Source organism: Homo sapiens, chromosome 3, assembly GCF_000001405.40.
Source record: "Homo sapiens chromosome 3, GRCh38.p14 Primary Assembly".
In the NCBI taxonomy this organism is placed as follows: Eukaryota; Metazoa; Chordata; class Mammalia; order Primates; family Hominidae; genus Homo; species Homo sapiens.
In genome coordinates, this window is record NC_000003.12 from 129,677,583 (window position 1) to 129,690,873 (window position 13,291).

At 39.0% G+C, this 13,291-nt stretch overlaps 1 protein-coding gene across 16 annotated transcripts in view, besides 2 other annotated features; it reads right to left on the reverse strand.

The window, feature by feature from the left end:
• The window catches only part of TMCC1 (transmembrane and coiled-coil domain family 1), a 245,920-nt gene that overhangs the window by 29,791 nt on the left and 202,838 nt on the right, over window positions 1–13,291 (reverse strand). Inside the window, exon 1 of one of the 16 annotated variants that reach the window (NM_001349272.1) lies at window positions 10,893–11,150. The exons of 14 other annotated variants lie outside the window; for them this stretch is intronic. In NM_001349272.1, the coding sequence (NP_001336201.1) occupies window positions 10,893–10,949 (57 nt within the window). In that variant the 5' untranslated portion in view covers window positions 10,950–11,150. Of the gene's footprint in view, window positions 1–10,594; window positions 11,151–13,291 lie in introns of those variants that run through there. One more of the 16 variants, NM_015008.5, reaches the window with a different exon arrangement.
• Window positions 12,720–13,240: a transcriptional cis regulatory region, noted in NCBI's record as "genic|chr3:129409145-129409665 region (GRCh37/hg19 assembly coordinates) targeted for CRISPR interference". NCBI's record gives its function as "negatively regulates H1.10 gene expression in K562 cells {active_cell/tissue: K562}" and the evidence as "EXISTENCE:mutant phenotype evidence [ECO:0000015][PMID:31784727]".
• Window positions 12,804–13,098: an enhancer, noted in NCBI's record as "tiled region #11052; HepG2 Activating DNase matched - State 8:EnhW, and K562 Activating DNase unmatched - State 9:DNaseU". NCBI's record gives its function as "activates a minimal TATA promoter and a strong SV40 promoter by Sharpr-MPRA in HepG2 and K562 cells {active_cell/tissue: HepG2 | K562}" and the evidence as "EXISTENCE:reporter gene assay evidence [ECO:0000049][PMID:27701403]".

Genomic DNA, 13,291 nt, shown 5'->3' on the forward strand with positions numbered 1-13,291 from the left:
CCTTAGCTTAATTCTATTTATTTCAAGCAATTGTGATAAGATGAAATTCTAAAGTAATGAAGGGATCCAAAATGCTCAATAGGGTCTATGATAATCTGGCTCTCCCTGAGCTGGTTGTCATGGCTTGTTAGGAAGCTTGTGAAGAGTAGAGGGTCCAAGGAAGAGCTGTTCGAATGATATACCCCTAATCCCACGTTAGGACTAATTACTCTTCTTACTCTTAAAAATCATTTATTTGCTGATGAATTCTAAATGTACACCACTAGCTCACACTTCCCTTAATACTAGACTCAGATATCCAACTACCTACTTAGTATCTCTACTTGCATGTCCAACAGTCGGTTCATTTTTTATTTGTTTTTGAGACAGAGTCTCGCTCTGTCGCCCAGGCTGGGGTGCAGTAGCATGATCTTGGCTCACTGCAACCTCTGCCTCCTGGGTTCAAGCGATTCTCATGCCTCAGCCTCCCAAATTACATGGGATTATAGGTGTATGCCACCACACCTGGCTAATTTTTAGTGGAGGCGGGGTTTTGCCATGTTGGCCAGGCTGGTCTCGAACTCCTGGCCTCAAGTGATCCACCCTCCTTGGACTCCCAAAGTGCTGGGATTACAGGCATGAGCCACCACGCCTGGCCAATTCTTTTTTTTTTCTCATATACCTTATATCCATATCCACTTAATAACAACATTAATAATCATAGTTGCTAATACATATAGTATACTTGCTATGTGCTAAGCACTGTTCTAAACCCTTGGCATGTACATTGTTTAATTCTTTTTTTTTTTTTTTTTTTGAGATGGCGTCTCACTCTGTTGCCCAGGCTGGAGTGCAGTGGCATAATCTCGGCTCACTGCAACCTCCACCCTCTGAGTTCAAGCAATTCTTCTGCCTCAGCCTCCCGAGTAGCTGGGATTACAGGCGTGTGCCACCATGCCCGGCTAATTTTTTGTATTTTTAGTAGAGACGGAGTTTCACCATCTTGGCCAGGCTGGTCTTAAACTCCCGACCTCATGATCCACCCGCCTCAGCCTCCCAAAGTGCTGGGATTACAGGTGTGAGCCACCGTGCCCGGCCTCATTGTTTAATTCTTTATAGTAACACTATGGAATGGGTATTATTATTTATCCTAATTTTATGGCTAAGAAAACCAAAGCATAGGGAATTTAAGTTGTTCAAGATCACAAATTAAAGAAGTACCAGACTCAATGTCTGAACCCAGATAGTCTAGCTACAGAGTATGTGTTATTAACCACTATGTATACACCATATTGTCCTAGCAATGCAACAGTCTCCTATAACTGCAATAATATTTTTATAATTATCTGCAGAGCAGCCAGAGTAGTTCTTTTAAAACATAAGTCAGATTACGACACTCTTTTTATACCTGTAACTTTCCAGTGGCTCTCTAGGTCAGTCAGGGTAAAAGCCAAAGTTCTTACAATGGCCATGATCTACACCTGCACCACTACATCCCATAAACTCCGTGACTTCATCTCTTACTAGTCATCCCTTTACTCCACTGGCATCAGCTACAGTGGCCTCCCCTGTTGTTCCTGGAACATGAGAGACAGGCACCCATGTCAGGGCTTTTCACGCAGTGAGTGTTCCTTCTTTCTGGAGTGCTCTTCCCTCAGACACCTGCACGGCTTGCTCCGTCACCTCCTTTAAGTCTTTGCTTCAATGTCACCTTAGCAGCGAGGACTTCTCTGACTGCCTTATTTATTTATTTATTTATTTATTGATGGAGTCGTGCTCTGTCATCCAGGCTGGAGTGCAGTGGCACAATCTCGGCTCACTGCAACCTCCGCCTCCAGGGTTTAAGTGATTCTTCTGCCTCAGCCTTCCGAGTAGCTGGGACTACAGGTGCGCACCACCACGCCTGGCTAATTTTTCTATTTTTAGTAGAGATGGGGTTTCCCCATATTGGCCAGGATGGTCTTGAACTCCTGACCTCGTGATCCGCCCACCTTGGCCTCCCAAAGTGCTGGGATTACAGGTATGAGCCATCACGCCTGGCCTGCCTTATTTAAAATTGCAAATTTTGGTTCCATTATGAACTTCCTATTTTCTTTCTTGACTTCATTTTTCTACATAGAACTCTTTACCTTTTGACATGTATTTTTATATTTCATAAAAAACTAGAATATAAGGCCCATGAAGGTAGATATTTTTGTGTTTTGTCCACTTTTGTTTCTCTAACAACTAAAATTGTGCATGGCACTTAGCAGCTGCTCAAATATTTGTTGAATGAATACAATTTCCTATTCTCTTATTTATTCAGAGTATTTTTTGGGTGTGCTATGTTCCACTCTTTCATTAGAATCTGAAGTGTTTCCATTTATTGTATCACCAAGAAATCTTAACAAGCTTATTTATAACTTCTTCATCTGTGTTATAACAGGATCTTATTGCATCAGAGATTGACTTTTAAAAGCTTCCCAAAGTACCTTATCTTCATACATTAAAATCAGACATTTTATAATTTTTTAAAAAGCTTAGAGTTCATTTATACTCTTGCATGAATTGCCCTAAAATACTTTAGTATTCTCGTTTTATTAAAAACATGTGTTAAATGCCCAAAATTATTTTTCTTCTTTGTGAACTACATGAATATTTCTACTCCTTAGATAGACAGACATTTTCTGAGACTACGAAAGTGGAAGACTCAATCTGGTTTATGTGTAAATACGAAGATGATAGTAGCAAAGGTAATAGTAGTAACTGAGTGCTTACTATGAACCTGGTACAAATCTAAATGCTTTGCTTATATTAACTTGGTTAATCCTCAAAACAAACCTAGGAGATATATACTATTTTAATCTCCATTTTATAGCCGAAGAAATTGAATCAGGAGAAGTTAGGTGACTTGTCGAAGGTCACATAGCCAATAAGCAGCAGAGTCAGGATTTGAACTCAGAGGACTTGGCTTTAGAGTCCTTGCTATTCACTGCGTCGCTTGTCATAAGTCATAACCACTACCACTTGAGCAGCAGAATAGGGAGGCACTGATGATTTTTACAAAGTTAGACTCTGGGCCAGGCCTGGTGGCTCACGCCTCTAATCCCAGCACTTTGGGAGGCTGAGGCGAGTGGATCATTTGAGGTCAGGAGTTCGAGACCAGCCTGGCCAACATGGCGAAACCCTGTCTCTACTAAAAATACAAAAACTAGCCAGGCATGGTGGTGCACGCCTGTAATCCGAGCTACTTGGGAGACTGAGGCATGAGAATTGCTTGAACCGGGGGGTGGAGGTTGCAGTGAGCTGAGATGGAACCACTGCACTCCAGCCTGGGTGATAGAGCAAGACTCTGTCTCAAAAAAAAAAAAAAGGAAGAAAAAGTTAGACTCTGAATGGGAATCCCACATATGTGATTACATCCTTTCTCCTAAAATTTATTAACTATGTATATGCAAAGTATGAAGCAAGGTGCTATAGGAGATATGATGATGGTAGTGATACGGCACTGTTCAAAAGCAGCTTATATGATGGGGGGTGGAGACAGAAGGTCAAATAATTTGTTTTAATATGTAAAATGTGTATATTATAATATTTATGGCATTTTCCAAACATCTATGGGGATTCAGAAAAAAGAAATACCTGGTTTGAGATGGGGTGACTAAGAAGTTTTACAAAGCAGATGGTATTTTTGCTGCACTTCAAAATGGAATTCTGACAGACTTATAAAAAGGGTCATTTCCAAGAGGGCAGAAAAATTCTACATATTTTATAAAGCAGTAAATAATATAGTTTGGTCAATATTTAGGGAAAGTATAGGAATACTCACGGTTTGAATTTATTTTAATTTAAATAACCTTCCTTTACTATCTAACTCGCTAGGAGGTAAAGAATGATAAGTAGTCAACGTTTTTTTTTTTCAGTAGGGAACTAACATTACCAGAGCTATGTACTTAGAAGCTTAATCTGGTATCCATGAGTAAATGAAATAGAGTATACAGAGGCTGGTGGGTAGGAGGCCAGGTAGGAAGCTATAATAATCATAAGCCACTAGAACACAGTGCCAATAGAAATGAGGAAGAGGAGACCAGGTGCAGTGGCTCACGTCTGTAATCCCAGAACTTTGGGAGGCCGAGACAAGCGGATCACCTGAGGTCAGGAGTTTGAGACCAGCCTGGCCAACATGGTAAAACCCCGTCTTTACTAAAAATACAAAAATTAGCCAGGCATGGTGGTGCACACCTGTAATCCCAGCTACTTGGGAGGCTGAGGCAGGAGGATCGCTTGAACCTGGGAGGTGGAGGGTGTAGTGAGCTGAGATCATACCACTGCACTCCAGCCTGGACAACAGTGAGACTTCGTCTCAAAAAAAAAAAAAAATTTTTAATTAAAAAATAAATAAAATAAAAATAAAGAAATGAGAAAGGGAGAGGCCAGAAAAGCCCTAAGTGTTCCTACTTTTAGAGGTTCCATGCACATATAAAACACATAAAATATCCTCATATTAAATATAATTTTTAACTGAAAACTTAAGTTTTTCTGTTATTTTGCACTGAAATTATCTGACAAATTATCTGGAAACAACTACCTTATTTTTAGAGATAGGGTCTTGCTATGTTGCCAAGGCTCAAGTGCAGTGGCTATTCATGGGCGTGATCATTGTGCACTGTAGATTCAAACTCCTGGCCTCAAGCAAGTCTCCCACATCAGCCTCCAGAGTAGGTGGGACTACAGACCCACGTCACTATGCCCAGCTACAAATAACTTTAAATATTCTTGACACGTATCATGAAGAAGAAAATATAAACTACAAATTGTTTTCAAATGAAATACTCAAATAATGTTAAATATAACAATTAAAACTGACAGTTGCATTTTGCAACTGTCATTAAATATTTATTAAGATTTAAAACTTCTCCTGTTTATATTTTAGATAATAGGGTTTCTGTAGGCCCTTAAAAAGCTCAGTCCCCTGCCTCCCTGAGCCTACAGTGCCTGCTGGATATAGCAGTTCTGTAGATTTAACTGTGATACCCTCTCCAAGCTTCAGACTCTCTGCTACATAGATGACTCTCTCTGTCTCTAGGTTTAAATTCTCAATTGCCTAATGGCTATTTCTACATGAATATCCTTCTGTGTTTCCCCTGACAAATCAAAATCTGTCTCAAACTAAGCATTCAATGTCCTCGCCTCTCTTTCAAAAATACCTGTCTCCTTATAAACCTGTTTTCATCCTTTTTCCAGTAATCAAGAGTAAAAGCATGTTTCTGATCTTTTCCCCTTCTTGCCAAAGTTTTTTTATTTTTATTTTTGAGACAGAGTTTCGCTCTTGTTGCCTAGACTGGAGTGCAATGGCGCGATCTCGGCTCACCGCAATCTCCGCCTCCCGGGTTCAACTGATTCTCCTGCCTCAGACTCCTGAGTAGCTGGGATTACAGGCATGCGCCACCATGCCCGGCTAATTTTGTATTTTTAGTAGAGACAGGGTTTCTCTACGTTGGTCAGGCTGGTCTCGAACTCTGGACCTCAGGTGATCCGCCCGCCTTGGCCTCCCAAAGTGCTGGGATTACAGGCATGAGCCACTACGCCCGGCCCTTGCCAAAGTTTTTAAGCAGCTTCTAAGTTCTACTGTTTTTGCTTTTATAACACTGCATGCCAATCCTTTTCATGCCAACCATAGGTGATCAGAGTATTATTTAAACAGTCTCCTTTTTTCCATTCTACCTTGTACACCACTGGTCTATGAGTATTCCAAGACTAGATTTATCTTTTTCTAACTTGCTTTCCCTAGTGTCTAGTAGCTGGGCATGTTTGGCACCCAACCGTATTATCTTATTAATCCAGTGAGGCAGGCACTATTCTAATTTTCTACATGAAAAATCTGGCTCAGAGGCTAACTCAAGCCTTTGATTCCAAATTGTGAGCTCTCTGTTGTATAGTACACCCATGTCTGATCTTTGACAGACTGTAGTTCTAGCATTACTTGGTTACCTGTAACCGAATAAAAATTATTTTTCTACATGTCAATAGGTTTTTAATTCTTTGTTTTGTTTTTCATAGATTTAGGGGGTACAAATGCAGTTTTGTTACATGGACATATTGTACAGAGGTGAACTCTGGGCTTTTAGTATACCTATCACCTGAATAGTGAACATTGTGCCCAATAGTTAATTTTTCAACCCCCACCGCCCCACCACCATCCATCCTCCTACCTTTTGGAGTCCCCAGTGTCTATTACTGCCCTGAATAAAAATTATTTTAAGAGAAATTTATTTAAACAGACAGGACAGCTTATTGTTCAGACTCCTGATACAATCTCAACAGATCAAGTTTCTGTCCTTTAAAAAATATAAAATCTTCGGCAAGGGATACTCCAGGGTGTTATCTTTCCTAAAATCTGTACTTAATTTTGAGAACACAGTTGCTTTTTGTACAACAGAATAAAGCAGATACACTGATAAAGTTGGTGTAAATGCCTGCTGTATATACTGTCTCTAACGTCTTAAGAATGTCATCAATGTTTAAAGATCCTGGAAATAAATTAAGGATATCTATGACAAATTGTAAAAAATTGCTTAAATATGTAAATGGTATGGACTTCAGAGACTTGTCTAGTTGTTCCAGGTTTTTAAATAGAGGTATCTGTAACTCCTAAAAGGGCTAATAAATCAATAAAACTTGGATTCCAAAAGACTGAGAATCAATGCACACCAGTGTTAACTGAGATAAGAAGAACATTCAGCTATTCAAAGACTTCTGAAAAGGCAAATTGAATGCTTAAGCCTCTGTGAGGGAATTACTTAAATGGTAAGGATCCAATTTTCATAATTTGTTTATGCATTTCTATACTCTGTTGATGTAGGAGTCGGGGAGAGTGGGAGAGACTACGGGCAGTACCATCCCTCCAGGTGGCACTAGGCCTGGGGGCATTTCTCCTGCAGTGTAGTCTCAAAAATTACCTGATCTTAAATGCCAACAATGACCTCACTGAAAAATACTAGATGGATTCTGGACTTACTCCAGAAGAATGGGAAAAGAGGAGACACAGAGAACAAGGCGAGTTGTGGATGTCCTTTCCTGCCTTGGCCAATTCTTTCACATGTGATGAGCAATGGAAAGATTTCAGTTTTTCTGATAAATTACAAATAAAGTAAAGTAGAAAAGTATATGATAAAAGGGACGGATTCAGGAATTCTGCATATGAAAGGAAAAACATTTTCTGCTTTGTATCTAGGTATCTGCGGGGTAGGATAGCTTAGAGAAAATTAGGAGCAGATAGATGGGGAAAGCACATTATGGTGCTATGAGATTATGGATACAGGTTGTGAAAAAGACTGAGGCTTTACAATTTAATTCATTTTGCAATTATTTTTTCTTTATGTAAAACACTGAATAAAGGTGGAATCCCTGCTCTCAAGGAACACACAATCTAGTTGGTGAAACATGGAAATGATCAACTGAAATGCAGGTCCAATTAAATAAATGACACAGGTATGACAGCAAAGTACTCTTTGAACACAGGAGGGAAGCATGTATTAAAAGAAGGGAAAGGGGCTAGCTGGGTGCAGTGGCTCACACCTGTAATCCCAGCACTTTGGAAGGCAGACACAGGAGGATTAGCTTGAGGACAGGAGTTTAAGACCAGCCTGGTTAACACAGAAAGACCATGTCTTTACAAAAAAGAAAAAAATTAGCCAGGTTTGGTGGGGTGAGTCTGTAGTCCCAGCTACTCAGGAGGCTAAGTGAGAAAATCACTTAAGCCCAGGAGTCTAAGGCTGCACTGAACTATGATCATGCCACGGCACTCCAGCCTGCGCAACAGAGTGAGACCCTGTCTCTAAAAGAAACTTAAAAATTAAATTTAAAAAAAAAAAAAAGATGAGAAGGGGACAGATAAGGCTCATTGGAGGAGGTAACAATAAAAATGAGCCTTGAAGAAATTAGTATCTGATACAGAAAGGGTAAGGAAAAGCATTTCAGGTTAACAGCCTAGTATGCAGAACAGTCCAGAAGAAGAAAGTGTAATAGCACCTTCATGATAACTGAATGGCTGACGAGGCTGTAAAATAATGGCACAGGAGAGGGCTGTAGTGAGAAATGGGCTGCCAAGGTAGGTCTAAACTACTGTTCTAAATTTTATGCCAAGGATATCACTAAAGGTTTCCCAATGATAAGAGCAGTACGATCTCCTTTGGGATTTAGACTTATAGAGCCAAAAGGCTACTTGACTATATCAAAATCTACATGTCCAAAACCAAACATCATAATCCTCTTCTAAATCAGATCTTCTTACACTGTTCCATATCTCAGGAAAAGCATCTGTCTATCAAGCTACACAAGCCAAAACCAAACCAAATCAAAGCCTAGGAGCCATTCTTGACATCTTCTGCCTTCTACCTATATCCGATCCAACAATAAGGCCAATCAATTTTACTTTCCAAATTTCCATCATAATACACAACACTCTCCATCTACCTCTACTGCTACCACCTTATGATGAACTCTTATCATCTCTCTCCTGGACCACTCATCCTGATTGATCTACCTGCATTCACGTAGGTTCTCATTTAAGCTGAAGAAATTATTTTTTTTAAAAGGCCTAAATCACTCAATACTTAAATTCTTTTAGTAGCTTCCTACAATTTTAGAATAAACAAGAATCTGAACAGTCTATAAAGTCCTATGTGGTTAGGCCCTGGATCTACCTCTCTAGATACAAATACAAAATATTTGCATTTTTTAGTAGAGATGGGGTTTCTCCATGTTGGTCAGGCTGGTCTCGAACTCCCAATCTCAGGTGATTCGCCCGCCTCGGCCTCCCAAAGTGCTGGGATTACAGGTGTGAGCCACCATGCCTGACCTAGATCTTCATTTTACAGTATGTTTCCTTTCCCACGTACCCCACTCTAGTCACACTGGCCTTGTTTCAGTGCCCAGTGCTTATCCTATTTTTTCTCACCATAGTGCATTTGCAATATTGCCTACTTAGCTGCCTTTCTTCAACTCTCAGCCTGCCATTTTGCTAAATGCTGGGTATGTAATGATGAACAAACAGTGTCTGCTTTCAGGAGGTTTATGGCTGAGTGGGGAAAAGTGGTAGAGAGAGAAAAACCAGTAACCAAACAATATAAATTGTGTAAAGTGCTACAAAGAAAAAGAACAGAATATTATGAGAAAAGGAATAGTGTAAGGGAGGAAAATCTATTTTAGTCTGGGAGGTCACAGAAAGCTTCTTTTAACAAGAACACATTTGAACTGAGTCCTCAAAGATAGAAAAGGAGATTGCTACTTTAATCAGGCCATAAATGAGGAAAAGCACTATTACAGTAGGTTTCACATGCCAAGAAAATAGAGAATTTGGAATTTTATCATAATTGAGATGAAAACAGAGTTAAAGAAAGTAGCAATTCAAAAAGAGAAAAATAAAAAGGATTTATCTATTCACTGCTTCTTAGAATTGACTTGGTTGAAAGGTTTTGATCATCTTACCAAAAAGGCTTACGGAAGGAACAGAAGGATGCTGAGAGGAAAAGGTCAGTAAACAGGGAGGAGGGCACCTGCCAGTAACCTAATGGAGTATATGGAGAGTTGTATTTACAAGGCTTACATAACCAATGAGTCAGCAAAAAGTCAGGTGTCAATGGATCTCTTCTGTGGCCACTCTAAGCAGCTAGGAAACTTGGCTCTCCGAGATAGGAATATACCTTCCAGTAACACCTGCCTAAGTTAGGATGAGGAAAAGTAAACTTTAATGTTTAGAAAAAAAACATAAGAAATAAGATCCAACTTAAAGCAAGGTGATTCTGGTAGGATTTTGCAAATCTAATGCAACTCATTTCTCTAATTTGTAATAAAACACTTATTAAAGAATCCAGAAGCAAGACTCCAAAATCTGCTAAAAGTAAAACATACATTTTAAAGAGAAAAACAACATCCTTATCTTTTTTGAGGTCCATAAATATTGGAGGGCTACTCTCTACAACTATTTTTTCTCTAATAACGGCTAATATGTATAAACAGTAACAGAAAAAGGCTTCATATCAATAGAATTGAGTCTGGCAAAGAAAATATACAAAAGAGAACATAAAAGAGATTCAGTCATAGTAGAGGCAAAGAGATACAGCATTCACAACCACTTGATATCAAACAGCAATGACAATGAACCCAAGACAAATACCCACCAACGCACAGCTATGAAAATAGCAGACTCCTTATCCTGCCTTCCTCCACCTCCATACTTATGTTCTCAGCCTATTACTGTTCCAGTGGCAACAACTCTATAACAGGAGGAAGGCTTTATTTTTCCTTCTCCCGCTTCAGACTATAGAAAAAGCAGGGAAAAAAAAGCATAATTATGACTATTCAAAGAAAAGAAAAGAGGTTTGTTAGTCTGCATTCTTTGCTCTGGAAATTTCTGGCTTCTGTCTGTTGAGAGACACATGAGAAAACTTGGATTATCTCTGAAGGTCACAACTGAATGACCACAAGTTATGTTTCTCCTTCTGGTTCCCTTGGTCATCCTTTTCCATCAAACATGATTTTGCAAAATGTTTTAGTTATTGCTAAGAAGCAATTCCATACAGCTGATATAGAAAAGTCAAAAAATAAGAAAAAAATCACAACACATTTATCTTACCAAAACCCCCTGTCAGGCAGTCTGCTGATTTTGCTTGCCACAAAGCTCATCCTTCATTTGTGCACTGCCAGAGAAAGCTTGGATGGTAAAAAAAAAAAAATCACAACCTCTCTTGGCTATAAGCTCTTTCCATTTGTTCCAGCTTCCAAACTGCAGAGGAGCTGTGGCATAGTCTGTCACTGCTGCACATACTTGGTTTCCGAGAATAACGCTGCAAATGAGGACAGCTACCACTGGGAATGCTTTCCCCCACCAAAGAGCCGCAGTGAAGCTTCTAGTGGATCCCTGGGCTTCTCACCTTCACAGTCTCAGAGAAGTGACTTTCACAAAACAGGCAGGTACAGCCGCACCACATTAATACCCTCGCATAGCCAATCCTCCGCAGTGCCCACCTCAGCCTATGTATAGTTTCAATTCTATCTCCTGTAGCAACTCTTAGAGCTTTCTATATCTGGGAGCCTAGGAGAACTCTGTGCTGAATAAACAGAAAGCTTCTGCCAAACAAGCATCCGTGTGTGTGCGCGCGCACGCAGTTTGCTAGAGCAGCTAATGCAAATGAATAGTTTGACTCTGAGAATGGAGATCACAGACAGTATCTGCCTCTCTTCTCCAGCTGTGAGCATCTTTTATAAAAGACAAAAGCACCACACTGGTTGGATTTAAAGCTACAGGGTATTAATTCAACATTCACATTTGTCTTCTCATTTAAATCAGATAAGGTTGAAAGAATCGCTTAAAGAAGATTAAAAACATTCTAAATAAAATAACACTGTTTAGGTAGCTTGGTTCAATAAATACAAAGAAAAAGCAATCTACCTATGTTTCAATAAAGGCCCAGAAGACTGCCAGAACAGATTTCCATGCTTTTGTAATGTTTCTTCTCTTATTTTTCATTTTAGGTTGGCAAAATCATTTAAAATGAAAATAGAACATGAGTGAGAGAACAACTAGAAAAAGAAAACTGAGCACGACACTCTAAAATCGTATTCACTATGGACAGAGAGAAAAACACTCTGAAATCTAAGCAAGAGATTAAAACATCACAATCATAAGCCCAGGCTCAGCCCCTGTATCATCACACACACTATTTACTGAACACCCAAGACACTACGTGACAGAACTGAATATCTTATTAAGACTGTTTCTGACTTGAAAAAGTCACTTTGGGATTTAGGCAAGTTATCAGATCTGAACCTTATTCCTTTATTTGTAAAAGCAGTTGTGGGGAACACACATAGGAGGAATTTAAATGATTACAAAATATAGTGTGGCATGTATAAAGTATATCTACTAATATTTCTCTGAGGTTAACATGCAGAAAGGAATCAGACATGAAGACAATTTAATACAGTAAAGCCTATGAGCCTGGGGGTGTGATATGAGCCTTTCTATGAGCCTGGAGGTGTGATAATTTCTTTACTTCTAGTTAAGTATGGGTCTGGAAGCTCAGGCCAGCACAGTACTAACAGGTCAAAGAAGGTCTATCAGTATTCACCAGCTGCGTTTAACATCTTTCACTTAAACCATACAAAGCCCTCTGAACGGAATCCAAAGCACCTTGAATGAATATAAAGAAAATGCTGGGTTGAAACCATGGCTCCAGAAATTCCTTTTCCATCTCTAGAGACACAGAACTCTGACCCTGACTTTCCACAACAAATTAATAAAGAATTTGATTTAATAGAAGTTTTGTTTTCACTTAAAAATTAGGTGGTAAGGTTTCAACTGAGTAAATACGTTTCTACAAAAACAACAAAAACCCTAATCCTGTACCACTAGCATCAACACTAGCTGCTGTTTGCTTAATTCTGTTTACTAGCATTTTCAGTATCTTCTAAGACAATCATCCTTATTGTAGAAAACCACAAATGAGCAGAAAAGAAAGCAAAAACTATCTGTAATCTCACCACTTAGAAGACCAAACAAACCGCTATTACCACTGTGATTTCCATCCCTTCAGTTTTAAAAAAATATATGTACAAGTATTTTGTTATTTCAAATCAGTTGTGATTTCAATTTGAAGGACTCTATAAGAGAATCCATATTTTTTGCCTTCCTTCTCTCAAAAATCACTTATTGTAACTGTATTCCCATAGTAATATATCTGATGTGGGCTTTTAAATATACCGAGCTACTAGATTGTGTGCAGTCTAAAATAAAATCTAGTAAGTTATTATTTTCTTCACAATTATACAGCTGAATGTTGGGGACTGCATATTCTTCCCTGGGTAGGTACAGTATTTAATCTTTTGTAAGATTAATGTTTGTTACAATTGTATAATTTTAAGTACAATTGTTGGCACTCACTGATATTTCCAGTGCTGCTTCTCTTTCTGAACACACATGGAAGACTACATTTCCCAGTTCCCTTTGCAAGGCCATGTGACTAGTTCTGACCAATGGGTTGTGAAAAAAAGGAAGTGAGTGTGTAACCTAAGTCAAAGCATTTAATTGCTAATGTGAAGCTCTTTTATCCTCTCTTACCCTACCACTGAGATCACTGAAGCATATGTTGAGACATGGTGCCATGGATCAAATCTGCTTTGATTGGATAAACCACTAAATGGAGGACAGCTGCCCTGGAGAGTTGTCTGGGCCTAAAGCAGACTTTGTGTCTGCTTTTAAATCATTATATAAAAGTAATGATTTTATCTTTTTGAAAAAAATTACCTTTTCACATTTTTAGAGGTTCCGCCA